This window comes from Homo sapiens, chromosome 6 (genome assembly GCF_000001405.40).
Source record: "Homo sapiens chromosome 6, GRCh38.p14 Primary Assembly".
NCBI classification, from domain to species: Eukaryota; Metazoa; Chordata; class Mammalia; order Primates; family Hominidae; genus Homo; species Homo sapiens.
The window spans coordinates 131160640-131182013 of record NC_000006.12 but is presented as its reverse complement, the minus strand read 5'-3'; the positions used below and the strand labels follow the sequence as shown (position 1 = coordinate 131182013).

Below are 21374 nucleotides of genomic sequence, written 5' to 3'. Positions count from 1 at the left end.
GGTGAGATCACAGGTACCCACCACCATGCCTGGCTAATGTTTTTGTATTTTTAGTAGAGATGGAGTTTCACTATGTTGGCCAGGCTGGTTTCAAACTCCTAACCTCAAGTGATCTACCCGCCTCAGCCTTCCAAAGTACTAGGATTACAGCATGTCCAGCCAAAACTAATTTTTTTTTTAAATAAAAAAGATCAGTGGCTGTTGTCTGATCATGTGAAGAATGTAAAAGTTTCCATGGGATGGCAGCAGCGTCAACTAAGGCATGAAGACATGACATGGCCCAGTGCCTCAGGGGACCTCTAAGTAGTTCAGCATATCTTAAACAATGGGTGCAGCATGGACAACACAAGAAATAAGGCTAAATACACAGGCAAGAATCAAGAAGCTGAGAATCTTAAATGACACAGCAAGAAGAATAGATTTTATCCTAGATCCAACAGTAAGTCAATAAATTCTTTTAAGCAGGGAGCATAAAAATGCTTAGTTTTGTGCTTTAGAAAAAGAGTCTGGAAGCAAAGCGGCAGACTGTAGACCAGGAGACTATTGCAGTAGAATGGGTGAAAGATGAACAGAGCTTGGACTGAGGCACAGCAATAGGAACAGAAAGTAGGGAACGAATGGGAGTGATATTTAAGACAGAAAATTTACAGCATTTGATGACTATGAATATCTAAAATGACTGATGCTGGGGTTTAGGATGACACCTACATTTCTTGATGTTCCTGGTGGAAGAGTAGGGAGATTGACCATGATGGTAAATACAAAAAGTGAAACATGGGGCCAGGCGCGGTGGCTCACACCTGTAATCCCAGCATTTTGGGAGGCCGAGGCAGGCAGATCACCTGAGGTCAGGAGTTTGATACCAGCCTGGCCAACATGGTGAAACCCTGTCTCTACTAAAAATACAAAAATTAGCCAGGCATGGTGGCAGGCGCCTGTAATCCCAGCTACTCAGGAGGCTGAGGCAGGAGAATTGCTTGAACCCAGGAGGCTGAGACAGTGCCACTGCACTCCAGCCTAGGCAACAGAGTGAGACTCCATTTCAAAAAAAAGAGAAACATAGTTAAACAGAGAGTCAGGTCCAGAAATCTAAAAATATAAATGCTTAAAGAAAAAAGAGATAAGCTAATGAAGAAAGCTGAGAAGATACATTGAGAGAAGTATTAAAAAAAAAAAAAACAAAACAAACAAAAAAAGAAAGTGGTGTCTCAGAAACCAAAAGGAGAATTTAAAGAAGGGAGTCCTCAGTTGTATGAATAAATCTAGAGCATTCGTTAGATTCAGCAATTACAAAGCTATCAGGGGCCCACGATGTGGCATGCAGTGAAGTAGGCCATAGCCTACTGACCGCAGGAGGTTTGAGAAAAGGACAGTAATGAACTAAAGACAGATAATGCAGGCAACTCTTTTAAAGATTCTGGATAGGAAAGGTACAATGAAGATTTTTAAATTTTAAAGATTCTAGGTAGGAAAGGTACAGAGAATACAGGCAACTCTTTTAAAGATTCTGAGTAGGAAAGGTACAATGAAGAAGCTAGCAGGAGATTCAAGATCAAGAGATTTTTCTGTAGCTAATTCTTAGGATTTTTTAACTTTGTTTTTTGTTTGTTTAGGGATAGGAAAGGTGTTATTGAGCAAGTAAAGTTGGGGGAAAGGAGGTAATAAAGACAAAGGGTTGAAAACACAGAAGCACAGAGAGGGAAGAAGTAACTGGTACAGCAAGATCCTGGTTGAGTCCAGCAGACCAAGAACACAGCTGAAGGGGTTAGTCTTAACTAGATAAAGGACACCTCTTTTCCCAAAACTGTATGAGAATTTAAAAGCCAAATGCAGTAGCAGATAGGTTCACCAAGCACAGGGACTTGAAGTGAGCAGATCCCAGCCTCAGTGCCATCTGCTGAGAGAGGGGTAGAAGGTTATAGTTGCTCCAAACAGGGGGCTGGGGCAGCAACAGCAGACATGAGGAAAACTGAGCAGAAGCAGTGGACCTGCCGAGCCAAGGCTCTGAGTGTGGAAAACATACATTTGCAGGAGAGCCAACCTACATGACTGTGTGATTTCTTCATTTTCTCATTCTTTTGATGAATACTTATTAACAACTTATTTATTTATTTATTATTTATTTATTTATTTATTTATTTATTTGAGACAGGGTCTTTTTCTGTCACCCAGGCTGGAGTATGGTGGCATATTCACAGCTCGCTGCAGCCTCGCCCTCCCAGACTCAAGCAATCCTTCCACCTCAGCCATCTAAGTAGCTGGAATCAAGGCATGCACCATCATGCCAAGGTAATTTTTTTCTATCTTTTGTAGAAACAAAGTCTCACTATGTTGCCTAGGCTGGTCTTAAACCGCTGAGCTCAAGCAATCTTCCCTCCTCAGGCCCCCAGAGTGCTGGGATTATGTGAGCCTTAACGCGTTTTATGTGTCACACATTATAGACAGTACTGGGTATACACTAGTGACCAAAACAGTCATGGTCCTGGCCCTCGTGGAGCCTAATCTAGCCACAAAGATAGTCAATCAAATAGACAATAACGGGCCAGGCACGGTGGCTCACGCCTGTAATCTCAGCACTTTGGGAGGCCCAGGCAGGCAGATCACTTGAGGTCAGGAGTTTGAGACCAGCCTGGCCAACATGGAGAAACTCCGTCTCTACTATAAACACAAAACTTAGCTGGGTGTGGTGGCAGGCACCTGTAATCCCAGCTACTCGGGAGGCTGAGACAGGAGAATCACTTGAACCCAGGAGGCAGAAGTTGTGGTGAGCCAAGATTGTGCAACTGCACTCCAGCCTGGGCAACAGGGCGAGACTCCATCTCAAAACAAACAAACAAAAAAAAAACCGAATAGACAATAAGGTAATCACAACCTGTGATGAGACCTATGAGGGCATCCCACTGGGTACAGTGATAGAGAGCTTACTTATAAAAATACTCTACTCACAGTGGGCAGGGACTCTCTGAAGTGGTGACATTTGAGATCCTAAGAATGAAAAGGTCTAAGCAGAAGGAACACTCAGGCATTTTCAGAAGATCTATGGCAGAAAAGACTCTGTTGAGTCCAGTACCTGTAAGAAGCAAGTTCAAGTGGGGCACAGTGGGCAGGGAGAGAGGACCACGATAAGGCAGGAGATATAGGCAGTGGACCAGAACATGGAGGATATTGTGGGCTACAGCAAGGAGGGTGGATTTTATTTTGCCCAGGTGTTGGCGCAAAAAAGCAAATGACTGGATTGGATCTGCCATCGGTGTTTCCCAGACAGGTCAAACAGAAGGAGATAGGACAACTGAAAGAGCCACCAAGAGAATGGCATACCTTGAGGCCTTGTCTACTTTAAGAATGAATACATCCATGCTGCCTTGAAAGAGGCCAAGCCTGGGTGAGGTTCCGGAGCATTAGCAGTAGTGGAAACGAAGTAAATGGCAACTAGAATGGGAAGTTGTCGTGATAGCTATAACTAAGTTTAAGGTCTCAGAAATATGCTTATGAATGGCAGAGTGGTGTATGGGTGTAGGATGCTAACGTCAAAGAAGTCAAGGGATTTTAAGAAAAGCAACAGCTGTGATGGCAGTAGTGGGAATGGAGTATTTATCATTAATAATAATAGTTACCATCTATTTAACATTGTCTGCGTGCCCAATACTGTGCTAAGCACTTCGTATAGATTATCTCACTTTATTTTCAGAACGGTTACTATTATGCCCATTGCACAAATAAAGAAACTGAAGGATTGGGAGGTGAAGTAAATTGCTTAAAACCACTCAGCTGGTAACAGGCTGCACAGGAATGCAAATGGTTCTGACTGACTCCAAAGCTCACTTTGTGCCAGGATGGCTGGACAGATTGTGCTCGTGCTACTGAAGGACGCAAGCATTGCAATGTGAGCTATGAAACAAAATCCTCAAAATAGGAGAGGAAATATTCAGATGACAGCAAAAAGAGAGGCAGAAGTTAACAAAACCAGGTAACATGAACCACCAATAAGGAAAGACCTTTGCGTGAGGATATAACAGGGACAAAGCAACAGAAAACTAAGAGAATGTGGATGATACCTCTGGGTCCTGTGGAATTTGGGATTGGGTGAAATGAGCAGCCTTCACCTAGAGGAAGCTGTGATTTCAATCAGGTAAGAGCCGAGTTTCAGCTAAGGCAAGAAGAGGTGTTCCTGGAAAATGTTTAGGGAGTCCGGTTGCTAATTTACAATGTAACAGAATAGCATAGTAATTAAGAGCACAGAATTTGGAATCAGACTGGTTGGATTTGAGTCCTGGTTCCACTACTCACTAACAAATTACTTAACTTCTTTGTGCCTCAGTTTCCCTGCCAAATGGGAGTGATGACAATGGTCTTCCTACTGTTTGGATGTGGTTTTTCCCCACCAAAACTCATGTTGAAATTTGATTCCTAACATGGTTGTGCTGGAGATGGAGCCTTGTGGGAGGTGTTTGGGTCACAGGGGTGGATCCCTCATAAATAGATGAATGCCTTACATCAGGAGTATGTTCTCACTTTCATGGGACTGGATTAGTTACTAAAGAGTACGCTCTCATAAAAGTGAATTAGGCTTCCTAGATTCTCACTTGCTTCCTCTATCGGCAAGTGATCTCTTTGCATGCACCCACTCACTTTTCCACTTCTCTGCCATGTTTTGACCCAGCATGTGGTTCTCACCGGGAGCCAGCCAGTGCAGTGCTATGCTCTTGAACTTCCCAGCCTGCAAAATTGTGAGCTCAATAAACGTCTTTCCTTCATAAATTACCCAGCCTCAAGTATTCTGTTATAGCAACACAAAATGAACGAAGACAGCCCATACCTCATAGGTTTGTCAGGATGAAATTGATATTTAATAAGATAATTAGAATAATGCCTGGTACAAAGTCAGTCCATTTAGAAAGTGTTTGATTGAAAATCAAGTAAATAAAAGAGGTGAGAATAAAAAGGATTAAGAGAGAGATGAGAAAGGAGAGGAAGGATGAAGTGTGCTTGGAGGCATATGCAAACAGAGGCAGGGTATAAAACTAAGGCTCTAATGGCCTCAATGGTGCAGGTCTGTGAATGCAGCCATCCTAGTTAAGAAGACAAGCTGGTCTTCTAAGTGAAGTGTGGCTAAGTTATTTTTACGTTTCTGAAGAAAGCGTAGCCCAAGCCATTAGGGGAACGGTTAGCAGGCTGCTGGGACACCCACCAGCCTGTGGTGGTCAGAAATCCAAGACTTCATGTAGTAATAGAGCACCCTAGAAGGGCCTAAAGATACCAGAAACTGAACAGATTCTTCACAAGGAGCAGAAAACACGGAATGTAGTCTCTCCATCTTTTGGGGGAAATGACAGTCAAAATGAAAGAAAGCATAATGTTCAAATGAACATTCTAAAAACCTTTCATTTTTTCTTGTATGAGATAAATGTACTTAGAATCTTTTATCATGCTAACCAAGGGCACTTTTCTATTTAAAAAAAAAAGTTTTGCAAGAACTATTATAATTCTAGTGGGCTAAATTTTTAGCAATCTCTCAGTCTCGCAAGCTTAAAATTATATATGGCTGAAAAAATGAATGAAATCACATATCCATTTCTATGCAAAAAGCTTTTCAATGCAATTTCATCATTCATTATAAAATGTGGGAACATGCCATATAAATGCAAAATTTTCAATATCTTCTTAATTCTATCAGCTACTGGGTAATTCTAGGAAAGAAGGTGCTGTTTTATTCTGGAAAAAAAAAAAACACACAGGATCACTCAAGGTCAAGCTAGGAAGCTGAGACACAGCCTCTGATGCCATACACCTTACCTGCTCCCTCAAGTGGCTACCACCATAAGCCCACATGTACATGTGATGCAAAGAAGGGCTTGGTCTCTTTAGCCCACCAGCAGGTACCAAAAATAACTGTTAGTAACAGCATAATTTTAATGGTGTAGGAAAAAAGAAATATCTTTTTCTCACCCATCCTATATTCATTGTTATAGACAACTCCATAAAAAAGACAGATTAACAAGAGACAAGCATACCAATTTATTTAATAGAAGTTTTATGAGACATGGGACCTTTTATAAGAAAATAATGACCCAAATAAACATGTAAACCTGTGTATTTTTATGCTATGTTTGATGAAGAAGTGGATAGTTGTGGAGAAGTACAATTGAATTAAAAAGTATGATCTAATGGCAATAAACTGGGGGAAACTTAGCAAGGCCTACTGACTCAGCTTCTCCTCTGTGACCCGGTGTCCTCAGAAAGGAGGATGTTCCATTCCTCCAGGCATAGAGAGCGCATATCTCAAATGTGGGTCTTATGACCTCCTTCAGGGAAGGGCAGGAGGGCAGAGAGTGACTTTCCTACTTCTGCTGTTTTCTCAAATTCCTTTAGCTTAAAATATTATGGAGTAGCATATCCTGACCCCCATTAATGGTAAAAGCTCATCAATTTAGACTTTACTAGTTCAAAATGTCCAATAATTTTCTTCAATTTTACACATTAAAAATTCTAAATGACTCTTTATCCTGCCAATATTTAGTAATGAGTACAAAGAGTAGTGTCTGAAATTGGTTCCTTTTTTCCTAAGAACTATGTAACACTTTAAGAATTTATTTTTTTAACTTGTAAATCTAAAAACTCTCTCCATGAAAATTAGGTAAATCAGACTCAAACTTTGAACAACACAGGTTTGAACTAAGCAGGTCCACTTATATATGGATATTTTTCAACAGAAGTTACACACGTGTGCCTGCCCCTCCTGCCTCCCCACTTCCACCTCCACCTCTTGTGCCTCTGCCACCCCTAAGACAGCAAGACTCACTCCTCCTCTTCCTCAGTCCACTCAATGTGAAAATGATGAGGTTGAAAACCTTTATGATCATCCACTTCCACTTAATCAACAGCAAACATGTATTCTCTTTCTTAGGATTCTCTTAATAGCATCTTCTTTTCTCTAAATTATTTATCGTAAGAATATAGTATATATTAATAATACATGTAACATATACAATATGTGTTAATCAATTGTTTATGTTATCAATAAGGCTTTCAGTCAATAGTAGACTATTAGTAGTAAACTTCTGGAGGAGTCGAAAGTTACATGGGGAATTCTGACTACGCAGGGTTCTGGGCACCAATCCCCACATTGTTCAAAGGTCAACTAGAATTACTTTCTTTACAAATTATCCTGCTTTACAGTAAGTCAGTCTAGCTCTGTCTCCATTATTTTGAATGAACAAAATTTTAATATTCCTGTGTAGGCATATACATACAATTTATTACAAAGTTTTAAGAAACTTTGGTCAATGGAATATATTCTTCTGAGAGTTAGAATATATCATTTGAACAAACAGCTTATAAAATATGGTACAAAAACAAATATTAAATCATTTTACTGATACTGTTGGGTTAAAGTGGCACTAATCCTAAGGCATTCTTTTTTTGAGATGGGGTCTCACTCCATTGCCCAGGCTAGAGTGTAGTGGCACAATCATGGCTCACTGTAACCTCCAGGCCCTGAGCTCAAGTGATCCTCCTACCTCAGTCTGCTGAGTGGCTGGGATTATCGGCGCAAGCCAGTGTGCCCAGCCTGAGGCATTCTTTTAAAAATATATCTAAAGAAGTAAAATATTGACAAAAATCCCATGTGCTGAACATTCTGAATATCTGAACACTATGTAAATAGAGGCTATATCTAAACTTCAATGCCTGACACAGTAAGTCCCCAATAATTAATAAATACATGTTGCTTCAGTAAGTGAATAAAGTTTTCCATGTATATTCAAATATTTAGGTTCCTTATAAAAGTGCATAAAAATTATAATAAAAACAATAGTACAATACACACATAAAAGATTAAAAGCAAGTATAACAGTGATTGTATGAGGGGAAAAGAATGTTGTTCTCCCTCCAGCTTCTATTTTTTATAATGTTTTGTTGAAACTTTTGAAAAACATAAGTATTTTTAATCAACAGTACCTAATACCTCTGGAATCAAGAAAGGAATTACAGGAGCAGTAACAACAAACCAACATCTTCGGGCTTATATTCATATTAAAGCTGGTGATACTTCACATTCCTCAGCACACAATGGATCTTTCATCAATATTGGAAAATGCCTTTGTGAGAATATTTGCAAAGAATGGATGGAATTCTCAATGTTGCAAGCACCCAGTGAATTATTTAAAAGAACAATGAATGAATGAGTAATTAGAAATGTTTCTTGAGTGCAGAGATATTTATATTACCAAAGAAAAGCTCTAAGTCTAGCATTTTTTCCAGAGCAGCCAAGAAGAAAAGATTAAGTTTAACTGTGGACTATCAGTCCCAAATGATTTGCCCAGGAAGAAAAGATTAACTGTGGGCATTGGTCCCAGATGATTTGCCCTCAGAACAATTAGAGTTGCCTTCTCATTGGCCTACTAATGATTTTAAGTACTCCTTGACTTGTAAATATTGCTTATTTGTTTGCATGCTTGCTTACATGTTTTGCTTCACCCTATCCCTAAAAATAGGATTTAAGATAACTCCAAAGAAGTATACACTATAATAAGTAAATTTAAAATAAAGAAAATGAGACAAACAGAAACTAAAACTGGAAAGATAACATGAAGCCAGGTATGAGGTAAGTGCACAAAAAGAATAGCATTATGTCCTATATTCTAAATTGAAGTATGCAATAAACTGGATTCTAAGTGTTCAAGTAACCAATTCTAACCCAAAGACACAAGTTAAATGTTCAACATTCATTAGGTAAAAAACAACATGTTCAAGAGAAATAGTCCTGATATTAAAATTAAAAAGAATTTTTTCTTTTTTCTTTTTTTTTTTTTTTTGAGATGGAGTCTCGCTCTGTCACCTAGGCTGGAGTGCAGTGGCACGATCTCGGCTCACTGCAACCTCCGCCTCCCGGGTTCAAGTGATTCTCCTGCCTCGGCCTCTTGAGTAGCTGGGACTACAGGTCCCATCACACCCTGCTAATTTTTTGTATTTTTAATAGAGACGGGGTTTCACCATATTGGCCAGGCTGGTCTCCAGTACTGGCCACTCCTGACCTCACGATCTGCCCACCTCGGCCTCCCAAAGTGCTGGGATTACTGGCATGAGCCGCCGCACCCAGCCAAAAAGAATTTTTTCTAATCAACTCATGTTATTTAACAAGATATAATCAACATTTGTAATACTTAAAATAAACACAGAGAATTTCCATAAACCTGTTTCTTAGAAAATCATCAAATAATGCCAAAAGAATTATAGTAAAAGCAATTCTGTAATATCAATTCTACAAAGTTTTACATGATTTTGTCTAAGTACCTATACAATTTTTTTGATGGTCTGGCTTAGTCTAGAAATGTATTTCTCAGTGAGAGGAATAGACGCTCTTGCAACAAATAGAAAAAGAAAGGAGGGGCTGGGCACAGTGGCTCATGCCTGTAATCCCAACACTTTATGAGGCTAAGGTGGGACAACTGCTTGAGGCCAAGAGTTCAAGACCAGTCTGGGCAACATAGTGAGACTCCAACTCTTAAAAAAAAAATTAGCTGGCCATGGTGGCACACACCTGTAGCTGAGGCAGGAGGATCGCTTGAGCCTAGGAGGCTCAAGGCTGCAGTGAGTCATGATTGCACCACTGCACTCCAGCCTGGGTGACAGAGCAAGACTCTGTCTTTAAAAAAGGAAAGGGGAAAAATGTTATGATAAACATACCTAGTAAAGATGTAATAGCCAAAATATTTCCTCCATAGAAGTCTTGCATATCCTTTAGTTGATTTATTCCTACATGTCTCTACTGTTCTTGTTATTAAAAATTGTGCCTCTTAAAAAATACTTTAATTATTTATAGGTTTTTGTATACTGATCATGTACCTAGGGACTTCACTGAAGCTATAAGTTTCTCCTATGCAACCTAATAATTTGTCTTTCTCTCGATTTTAAAACTTCTAGCTATCATTTGTTTTTCTTTGTGACGTCAACGAACAAAGTTTCTTCATACTCTCTATGAACCAGAAATCTCCTCAATTCATAAAATCCAATATACTGCTCTCTGATCACACCTCCTAATTTTCCTGTCTCACTCTTGAACTTCTACTAACTCTAATCTTCAGCCCTATTACTCTATTCTCCTTCCAAATATTAGTCCCATCCAGACTTCACTGCCTTTTCTAATGTACGTCCAATAATGATCACATCAAACATTCTACCACTCTCTTGACAGTCTGGCTCCTTTGTCTTTTTACCACACCTACCATACAAGTGCTCCAGTATGGATTAATTCAGTTTCCCCTCTCCATTCTCACAGCTAAATCCTACATAGTACTTGAGAAGATCACAGATTAGTACCATTACAAATTTCTGCACTCATCCCAAATGCAGCTTCTGCATTGCTCTGCAACCCCATTACATGCTGCTTATTAAACTTTCCCCTTCCATTTCCCTTGGTCGCCATTCTAAACTTTCACCGCTCTCCTCATGCCCTTATTTTACCTTCACTGCTCCCTTTAGCATACGAATCTCATTTGATGGTATCTCTAGATTTGCAATTTATACTTCAGTAACACTAAACTACTTGTAGGCCCCTAAATAGGACTTGATTTATTTGCATATGCTGTTCCCTCTACCCAGGATACACTCCTCCAATTTGTCCAACCAGAAAACCTGTATTTACCCTTCAAATGTCAACTCAAACGCTATTTCTCCTATGAAATCTTCCTCAATCCGCCCCCTTCTCCTTCCTATGTGCCTGCTATACTCTGTGCCTCTGCCTCTAGCTACAAAAATTATTGTTATTATTATATTGCACTGTAATTGCTTGCCTGTTTGTTTCTGCACAAGGCTATATGCTCCTTAAAGGAAAAGGATCTTTTTTTTTTCCAGTTTTCTATCCCAAGTACTAGTTGGCACTGGCTAATTGCATGCTAAAGGAATGAATTCTTCCTACTCAAGTATAATTCCTTGGGCCCAACATTATGTAGAAGAAATGAAATTTAGAGGTAATAAATTTATAAAAACCTTTGCTAAAATGAATGCGGCTGTGTCACTAATAACAGCAATAGTGAATTTCACATTTGCAACCCAATTGAAATGCTGTTATGTAAAACGTATTTCAAGTACATAACAGAAATCTTCTACTATAAAGATAACTAAACAGCTCTACTTCTGATACATCTGAATGGATAATGAACTCAGCGAACTTAAACCATATACTAGACAGCACAACTGACACTATGCTAAATGTCATTCTAACAATTAATCTGTATGATAATCCAGCCCTATATAAACACTGACATTCACAAAAATATTTATCACAAATATCTTAAGAACACAAAAGAAAAACCAACAATGAAACCTGATCCTCACTCCCTGCCAAATGTACACTTTTAAATGGGCAATTATTAAACTGCAAAGAGGCAATGTAATATTAAGTGAAAAGGATGTCCCAATAGATCACATACAACAAGATGCCCTTTTTATTAAGTTAAAACCAACTAAAATGAAAATACATATACTTTGGGAAAATAAAAGGAAGTAAACACTGACTTCAGGATGACAGTGAACTTAATTGGAGGAAGGCCAAAGGATGCATTACTGAAAGGACAATACGGTTAGATTACTACCAAAGCACTAGCTTCTGTTTGGGGTGGTAGATTCCTAGGTTATTATTTTTTTTTTCTTTTTTTCCAGATTCTGCTCTATTCATTCCTATAGATGATTGTTTCTTTTTTTTTTCTTTTTTTTTTAAATTATACTTTAAGTTTTAGGGTACATGTGCACAATGTGCAGGTTAGTTACATATGTATACATGTGACATGCTGGTGCGCTGCACCCACTAACTCGTCATCTAGCATTAGGTATATCTCCCAATGCTATCCCTCCCCCCTCCCCCCACCCCACAACAGTCCCCAGAGTGTGATGTTCCCCTTCCTGTGTCCATGTGTTCTCATTGTTCAATTCCCACCATTCCCAGGTTATTATTACATTGCTTTTTAAGAGATAGAGAGAGAAACGTAGATACACAAAGAGAAGGAGGGATGGAAGCAAGAAGAGAGGAAAGAGGGGGCAGAGAAAGAAAAGCAAAGAAGGAATAATAGATAGAAAGAAAAAAAAACACAGATAAAAGTGGACCAAGCATAGACCAATAATGCAAGTGTGTTATGAACCAAGGATTATTGAACCTGCAATGAGATGACATGAAATGACATGACATGACATGACATGAAATGAAGTGAAAATAAAAATTTCTCACAGCATGTAGGCTAATACCCAACCTATTATCTCTGGATCAAACTGAAGTCACTCATCCAGGTTATGATTTTTTTTCTGCTTCCAATTCCCTGACACTTTCAATTGTGCTGCACAAGGCAACATGTTCTCCAACACATATGAGGTCTTCTGCTAACACCAATGGTCCTTCTGCTCAGAGAGTAGTCCCTCCAGGGGACTGGGTGGAGGGGAGCAGCATAAATGGAAACCTTGCTGATTCACCAACTGGCTCTCTGCAATGGGGATGACAACTCCCACAAGCCTCTGAATAGGCAACCAATAACTCCTATTCATTGATTCAGTACCTACCAAGTGCCAACTGTATGTCAAATGTTATGATAAGCACTGAAATCCTTCAGACTTATGATTGGGACAGTCCTAAAAAATACTTGAGTCTAGTCCATCATCTTTTAAAATTTAAAAATGTCAAGTCTCTGTTACAAAATTGAAAAAAATTGCTTCTCCAACAGACAAGATTTCATATGAGTGTGTTGCTGTTTTACCTGCTATCTCCAAAAGTGAGTTTACATGATCTCCTTCTGCCAGCTTCACAAATCCAACCTGATTTCCAAAAGTACCAATCCCTTGAAAGGGCAAAGTCAAATGTTTTCCCTGGAGGAGTTCTTCTATGAATGGTTTCAATTCCAAAAGAGCATCAATACCACTAGTAAGAAATAATACATTTTTCAGTAACACATTAAGTAATAAAATATACAAAACCAAATAAGATACAAAGTACCAGTTTTAGAAAGATGAATTTTGATATTTGTACTAATTATTTTAAGGCTCAAAATACCTTCTAAATCTAAACTTTATGATTAAAACTGACAGTTTTAAACAAAAACTATGGAAGAAGTAAAGAAATCTTTACCTAATTATAATCACTATTAAAGACATGAAAGTAGACACTATTTTACAGTTTACCAAAAGATTTTTAACCAAGTGAAATATTATATGAACAACTCAAAAAATTACTGAAAATATATCCCAAAAAACTGAGTACCTACAAGAGCTTACATTAGATTATGTGTCAAGTTCTAGATTTTTGATGAAAGTACTAATACTTTTACAGTACATATATTTGTGAGGCACTCTAATAAAAGTTAAAGCACACTATCCCTTAAAATATAACAGTCTCTATAATTAGATAATTTGCTATACTTAGACTCAAATAAAATACAAGTTTAATTATATTCCCCAATTGTAACTATGTAAGTTTGCCATATATACTTTAGCTATTTAGCCTATGCAATTATACGCCTGCTATGTGTTAGAAGTGCGATATCTTTCCTTCTTCCTTCTTCTTTTCTCCCTCTCTCTCTCTCTCTCTCTTTCTGTCTCCTTCTGTCTCTTTCTCTCTTCTTTTTTTCAGACAGGTTCTCTGTCACCCAAGCTGGAGTGCAGTGGTGTGATCACAGCTGACTGAAGCCTTGACCTCCTGGGCTCAGGTGATCCTCCTGCCTCAGCCTCCTGAGTAGCTGGAATACACAGGTGTATGCCACCATGCCTGGCTATTTTTTTTTAATTATTTATAGAGAGGTCCCCCTATGCTGTGAAAGCTGGTCTCAAACTCCCAGGCTCAAGTGATGCTCCTGCCTTGGCCTCCCAAATTGCTGGGATTACAGGTGTGAGCCACTGTGTCCAGCCACATTTTTCTTAATAAAAACAAATGTTTACAATATTATTGAATTGGACATTACGAGATTTTTGATATTTGGAAAATCAGAATTACTTCTATCCTGAAGAGAATTTTGGTGTAGGTACTTTGAGAAAAAAATGAAATATCACTAGAGGGCAGCCATTACTTAAAAAAGAACTAAGCACATTCATACAGGGCTTTAAAACACCCTTCCAGTGGATTGCTATTCGTTTAAATTATTTTGATCAGTGATTTGTTCAGCCAAGTGTTTGAAAAAATCAGCATTTTTCTTGATCTTTCGTATTTCTAAATTAGTCTTCAGGTAAAGTTTTTAACTGATTTTCATCTATGACTTCTATACTCAGTCTCATTTCTCTGAAAAATTACATAGCTATAAGTATGGTACATTTCTCATTTCCAAAATTGTAAAGTATTGTGCATTTGTCATTTCGCTTTGGAAATGACAAATGCACTATACTTTAGTATATCTATGTAAATGTCAACATTTCTCATTGTACCTCCAAATCCAGTTTAAATTCACTATTACCTAACTGTAGTTATGTTCATCCAAACAGTGCACATACTTTTAAGTCAGTATTTTCCTTCACTGTGTGCTATGAATTAAAGCATGTGATAACAGAACAGCTATTCCTGGCTCATTTATAAGTTGGGGGAATTCAAGATATTTGTTTTAAATGAAACTATATGTTAAAGCAGACCATGAGAAAGGTTAAGACTTTTCAGAGACAGTGAATTCTATGTCGTTATTCTTTAAAGAAATATAGATGATCTAAATTCGGTCCATTTTTCCAGTTCTCTAGTAGTATAAATCAGTAAATTTGTGCTAATAAGATGCCACTGATTCACAGAGTAAGAAGGAATCAGTGTCTACTGGGAGTATCACTAACTTTCAAAATATTTTAAACAGAATATGTTTTTAAGAGGGGCTTATGAAAAGGCTTCTTTAAGGTAAAGTAAGTAAAAAGTATATGCATATAAGAAACGAAATTCTCAAACTGGAGTTCAGACCCAAAGGTTGTATTTCAAACTAAGACAGGACATTTGTAAGTCTTTTCAAATCAGCAGCAGGGCTTAGCCTAATATATTTCTATTCCTTTCTTCTACACTGTAAGGATACAAACGAGTTTAGGTGACATCTACCTCAAGAAATTAATGATTTTTTTAAGTATCTGCACATTCCATATCCAATCCACTGATCAGTATACTATTAAACAACTAAAACTTGATATTAGACTTTGAAAATTAGGAATCAATATAGGACAAGAAATGGACAATCTAGATGTCTAACATACAGTATAGGATAAAAAGTTAAAAATCAGAGACTTTTAATAAATTGTTCACATAAACAATGTCTTCCCAGAAACCTCATCAATTCCATTCTAGCTGCCCCAAAGTGAGGTCACACCTTGAACCTCACCATCAATTAAAAGTTGACACCTCTGCCCCTCCAGAATAGGGGTGGACCCAAACCAATCAGCTAAAGGCCTTAATAGAAAAGACTGGAGTCTCCTAAGAAGGAATTCTGTCCCCAGACTGACTGAGGTCTTGAGACTACGACATCAACTCTTCCCTTCCAGACTGCCCTGAAGATTTCAGACTTCTCCCTCAATCATGGGAGACAATTCTTTAAAATAAATCTCTCTACATAAAGATATACATGTCTACACAGACAGATACAGATAGATATCTACATAGATACGCTCCTATTGGTGCTGTTTCTCTGGAGAATCCTGACCATTCTAACACACACAGAGCACTACTCCCTTCTCTCAACCTTTCATTTTGCGTAGTATCTTCTTTGGATTCTCTTTGGATGCTCTTTCAAGAGCATCAGAGAACTTCTTTTTTCTTCTGATTGGCAAAGTGATCAGACAAAGTCAGGCAAGTAAAATCTCCCCTCCTCTCTGTCCTTGCAGGATGCTCAAGGCTGCTTTGGGTACATCAGCTTGGGACAGATCATAAGATTGACCTCTAAAGACATGAGGTTCTACTGTTTAAAAGACATAACTACAATAATCATAATGGGGTTAGATATTTTGAGTTATTAATGTCTTTTATCTTATCCCTTTTATTTTACCTTTTCCTCAATCCCTTCCTAATTCAAGCCTTGCTCCTCATTCCCTCAGGAAATATAGCTGTCAAAGTAGAAAACAAAAGCAACCTGCATTCATCCTGGCTTTGGTTTTCCATACATCTTAGGCTTGAACTTAACACAGTGAGCTATATAGGAGGTAACAGAGGAAGGGAAAATCTAAGTACGGATAAGAATGTCCCAGAAAATTGGGGGAAGAACAAGGTTTCTTCCAGATTGGAAAGCAGTAATCAATGAGTTGTCTTCAACCTTTATGGCAGAACCCTGGCATGGGGGCGGTGGGGGTAGGTAGAGTACAGTGACTCTAAAAATGACTAAGATGAAACTGAAATTGTCCAGTGGCTTAGTAAAATGGCAGCTCTTATAGCTAATAATAGAGTGCCTACTATGTGCCAGGCCCCAGGCAAAGAGCTCTTGCATGTATTGGTACTATTATTTTCTTCATTTACTTAGAAAGTACATGATTTGCCCAAAGTAAGGCAGATAATAAGAGGTGGTTTTGCCATGATTCCAGAATATGTATCTAGAATTTTAAGCTAAATGGTCAAGTCCAGAGTGCTTATATTATGAGCACGGACAAAACAATTACATAACCAAGGGCTACCACTTGATAACCATAACAGAGTTTAAAAGTTTAGATTAAAAAGAATATTTATACAGTTTATTCTGTATATTAACTATTAATTGGAATAAATTGTATAGAGACTACTTCTTTAAAATTTAGAATGTCTCTTTGGGTTCTGCTGTGCTTACTCATATTAAAGTAATAATTTGGAAAATTATATTTAAGAAAGATACATTACTCACATGTTTACTTCATCTTCATTTAATAATTGCATCACCAGCAGGGTAATATGAAAGGAACCATCACTGACCATTGCTTTGGCCAGTCGCTCATCTTGTTGTATTATTGCATTCTGCAGGATCTTAATTCCTTTTATAATCTAATAACACATACACACATATAAAAAAAATTCCAGTGATTAGGTAAGCAAAATTTCTTTATGGTAAAATGTAAAATCAAGAAGAAAAATAAGCAACAACCAAAATTAGAACAATGTTAAGATTCTTCAACCAAATGAATGCTTAATTGTCTACTTGTTCTCAAACAGATAGTTGACTGGGACAGCTTAAAAGGATGTGTAAGTTTTAAAGCATGATGATTGTCTATCTTAACAGTACTGAACCCAACACCCTTATTTTGCAGATCAGATTGCTATCTGACTGGAAAAACCTCTCAATGGCCCTGCATCTTTTCAGAAATTTGTCCTTGGAATACCCAATATGACTCAATAACTATGATCTTTCCTAAGAATAAGGCTTTATTCTTGCCACAGAAAGGTCAAGCCAGCAGACAACATTCCATTTCTGTTAGAAGCAATAATTATTTGTCTCCAAGTGAATGTGTCTGTGAACCCGTTCCTCATGGCCTTTAAGATTTTTTACGACAGCAATAATTTCAGTAGAAATGACTACTGTCATTTTTCCATACCTGTGGGGAGGGGCATTACCATGAAGAGTTGCAAAGAAGTCCAAATGCACACATTAGAAAAACAGAATCTGCATCCAGGAGAAATCCCCACAGACCTGGTCCACCATCTCCCTTCCTCTCTCAGCACCTGCTCCTCTGAAACAGGGAGAGGAATGATGCATCTTCCCTCCTCCACTTCCAGTTAGATGCAATTCTAGTCAACTTCTAAATGTGAGTACATTTGAAAGTAGTCTGAATACAAAATAGCAAACCCAGAAAAAAAACAACAGAGAAAAGAGAGCACAGAGAAGCCCTAAGGGAACAGAAGACAGAAGCCCTGAGGCAGCACAATAGAAAAAAAGGGAAAGAGTGGGGGCTGACAGTCAATGCAGAATCCATAAAAAAGCAGAGATAAGAAAAAACTGACTCATGAGCATAGCAAACTGTTCTGATACCAAAGTAGCTGTTTTATCCTGAACAATGTTCCCATTATCTGCGGAATGTGATTGTGCAAATCATGAGATGCTGTCCTTGGATCTCACTTCCCATTGACAGACTCTCTCCTTTGACCAAAACTTTAGTCAGGCCCCTCCAAGTCTTCTGCTTGACTAGGCCTAACCATGGGCTTCTCTCTCTGTCCTTGTAGAATTTAGTTTGAGCAAGAATGCTGCTATGTCAGTTTCAAGAAATCCCCCACCCTTGGTGTCTAACCACCCTCCATATCTGAGCTCACCTAAGAAACATTTAGGATTTACTGTACCCCCATCAAAATGTTTTCTTCTTTTCTTTTTAAACTAACATGCAATTGAAAGTTAATGGAAACACATATTTTCATATACTTCCAATTAGGATATTTGTATGCAGCCATCCTAATCCACTTTCCAATTCTATTGCTTAAAATATGAAATCAAGATTTTCCACTAATAAAGAATTCCGAACTTCTAAGAATGTGTTTAAAATCAAAGACCAGTGGAATTCTGGATACTTTTTTCTTTAAAACTAGATGCCAACACGTAGAGGCCAAAAGTAGAGCAACTCATTGTGAATGTGCTAGCTTCCAAAAGCTTGTTTGCAGGTCACTTAATTGGAACTTGGAATACAGTCTTCCATTGAAACAATGTTATAAATGCTAATTCTTTTCCCAAGCCTTCCCACAAAAGCTCATAAGTAGTTTAAAAAGAAAATTAACATTAGACACTTTAAAACAAACAAACAAAAATGTGCTCATGTAGAAGATACAAAATATAACTCCTAATCTTGCCTGACTACATCTCTTCCCCATATTTGTATGTAAGCTTTCTAAGTGATTAACTACAAATAAGTCTCTTGAAAAGGAAACATTACATTATTTGGTTTCAAGGTCACTTGAAACCTGCATTTCCCTCTATTATAAGTTACCCTACCTCCTCCAAAACCAGTAACTGCTGTTGAACCTGTATTATGAAACCACCATTACACTGTATTTATTATTTTTAAGTATTCTGGTTATAACTTGGAATGACAGAAACACGCTTTTGCCATGAAACAGCAGCAGAGAGAGAGAGAGAGCGAGAGCGAAAGAGCGTGTATGTGTGCGCACCTACTCTTGAACAAACACCAGTCTAGGTATGGGCATGCACTAAAAACCTTGTGAGGAAGACAAGTGTCAAGTTGCAAGGATGACAAATGGCATACAGAAAGCTGTGAAAGCCTTTAGCTGACAGGAATGGGGCAAGGAAAGGGATAGTTGACCTAGACGAGGTGGTCATGGGTAGAGAGGTTTGAGCTGAGATTCCGGCATTAACAAAACCAAGAGGAGCAAAGAGAAAGCTCCAGCCAGAGAAGGCTTTTCCTGGGGCCAAGGGAACCTGGCAAGCCCAAGGAAGGGTAGAAGAGCTCGGGCAGAAAAAGCAAGGGCTGAAGGAGAGACGAACAACGACAAAACCTCAGAGAACATGGAAAAGAGGTTGTCTTTATCCTATCGATGGGAAAATCCTGAAGTATATAAGCAGGTTGGTGACACGGCTATATTCGGGTTTAAAAAATAGTCATCTAAAGGAGGTATTATCACCCACCTCATTTTACACCTGAACAAACTGAAACTTGAAAAATTTAGGTAACCTGACCTGCACATGCAGCGGAGTCTGTGACTCAGCTGGGACTAACAAGTCTGTCAGACCCAAAGCCTGCACTCTTTCCAGCATCTACACAACTTTACAGGGGTAGAGAGGCAGAAACAAAGGCTACAGCAGGTTAAAGGATGAAAACTAAAAGCTGCGGACAGGACTCTCATCCCCTTTCTCCCTTCACCTTTGTGATGCAAAGCCTAGAAGTTAGTGGTGAAAGGAAAGAATTTTTTTCTCTTCCTTCCTCTCAATCCCCTTCCCCACCTTCCCTATCCCATCAGCACATCATCCCATCAGTCTTCTCCGGAAGGGGTAAGAAGCCATAACACAGCTAGGAGGGGAGAGAGGGCAGACATGGGGGTGATGCAGAGATGCTGCTCAGTCTCCCCTAGGAGTAAGGAATACAGGTGAAGGGAGAAGCAGAAAATGAGCGGCCTAGGGAAAGTGACACCCAGAGGTGTTCATCGAACATCTGTCAAATCAAAATACAGAACCTGGATTCTCTTCCAATCACAAATCATGTGTCCATAGGGAAGTCACTTCAACTGTCTGACATTCAGTGTCCTTAGGACCTGGCTTCTGTCTGGCTGCTCATGAAAGCAGCAGCACCTTTCACTCCCTGAGCTCTTCTAATCCCCACAGGTATACGTGATCCTAAATTTCAAACCAAACTTGCAAGTATTTTAATAAAATGTATAATTGCTGATTACACTAACTTTGTATTGCCTAAACACTTTTAATGACTATTGCACTAGGACCTTTAATTTTTTTTTTTTTTTTTTTTTTTTTTTTTTTTTTTTTTTTGAGATACAGTCTGGCTCTGTCACCCAGGCTGGAGTGCAGTGGCACAACCTTGGCTCACTGCAACCTCTGCCTCCTGGACTCAAGCAATCCTCCCACCTCAGCCTCCCAAGTAGCTAGGACCACAGGTGTGAGCCACCATGCCCAGCTAGTTTTTGTATATTTAGTAAAGATGGGGTTTTGCCATGTTGCCCAGGCTGGTCTCAAACTCCTGGGCTCGAGGGATCCATCCACCTCAGCTTCCCAAAGTGCTGGGATTACAGGCATGAGCCACCACACCTGGCCCTTATTAGGACTTTTAAAAAGTATTCCTCAACCAAAGGAATCAAATATGTATCAGTAAAATCAGAATATGATTCTTCAGTACATCAAATCTAAAATCTTATATGGCTAGGTAACTCTTCTCTTGTTATGTATATCTTCTCCCCAGCTAAACTGTGTCTCACAGACTAGATATTTCCTAGAATGACCCAAAATAATTTATTTTTTCTTTTGATATTTCTTTCATTTTAATTTTGATTTGATTTTTAACAATTTGTTAGCATTCCCTAGAGACATTCTAGTTAAACAAGGGGAAAGGCAATGTGGAAATGTGCCTGGTCAAAGAGATTATCACCCACAATCAAACAGAAATTCAAATCTGGCTCGTAATTGGGCCAAAGGGTAAAAACAGTCAGTCTTCCAAGTGAGGTGTTCTTTCCTGAGGGATTTTAATTCCTACCTCACCGCTTCAGTGGTTGTAATGAGATGCAGTAGTTTTCTCTCTCAGGGGTTTCTCAGTATGAGCTAACTGGCTAGTTCCATTTCCTATTATTTATTGCATTAATTTTTCAGATTTTAATAGATTTTTACCAAGTTTAATGGTGCAATATTAAGTTGTTACAATACTGAGTAATTTTTTAAAGAAACTATGTTGAAATAATCACTATAATAAACAAGATTAAGCAGCAAGAAACCCCAGTTTACCTTCCCAACAGAGATCTCAGAATCCTCTTTTTTCAACTGGTC

At 38.5% G+C, this 21374-nt stretch overlaps 1 protein-coding gene across 25 annotated transcripts in view, besides 1 other annotated feature; it reads right to left on the bottom strand.

Annotated features, from left to right (window-relative positions):
* AKAP7 (A-kinase anchoring protein 7) overlaps nt 1–21374 on the bottom strand; it is a 157906-nt gene that overhangs the window by 101519 nt on the left and 35013 nt on the right. For 23 of the 25 annotated variants that reach the window (NR_164833.1, NR_164832.1, NR_164834.1 and 20 more), the window contains 2 exons: nt 16797–16933; nt 12741–12901 (listed from right to left, as the gene is read on the bottom strand). Coding sequence is in view for 18 of the 25 variants with exons in the window: in XM_017011509.2 (XP_016866998.1) it covers nt 12741–12901; nt 16797–16933 (298 nt within the window). In the remaining 7 variants the exon portion in view is untranslated. Of the gene's footprint in view, nt 1–12740; nt 12902–16796; nt 16934–17481; nt 17617–21374 lie in introns of those variants that run through there. The other 2 variants (NR_170717.1, XM_017011511.3) reach the window with 2 other exon arrangements.
* Nucleotides 17778–17978: a silencer, noted in NCBI's record as "peak6126 fragment used in MPRA reporter construct". NCBI's record gives its function as "represses an SCP1 promoter by STARR-seq MPRAs in K562 erythroleukemia cells {active_cell/tissue: K562}" and the evidence as "EXISTENCE:reporter gene assay evidence [ECO:0000049][PMID:32103011]".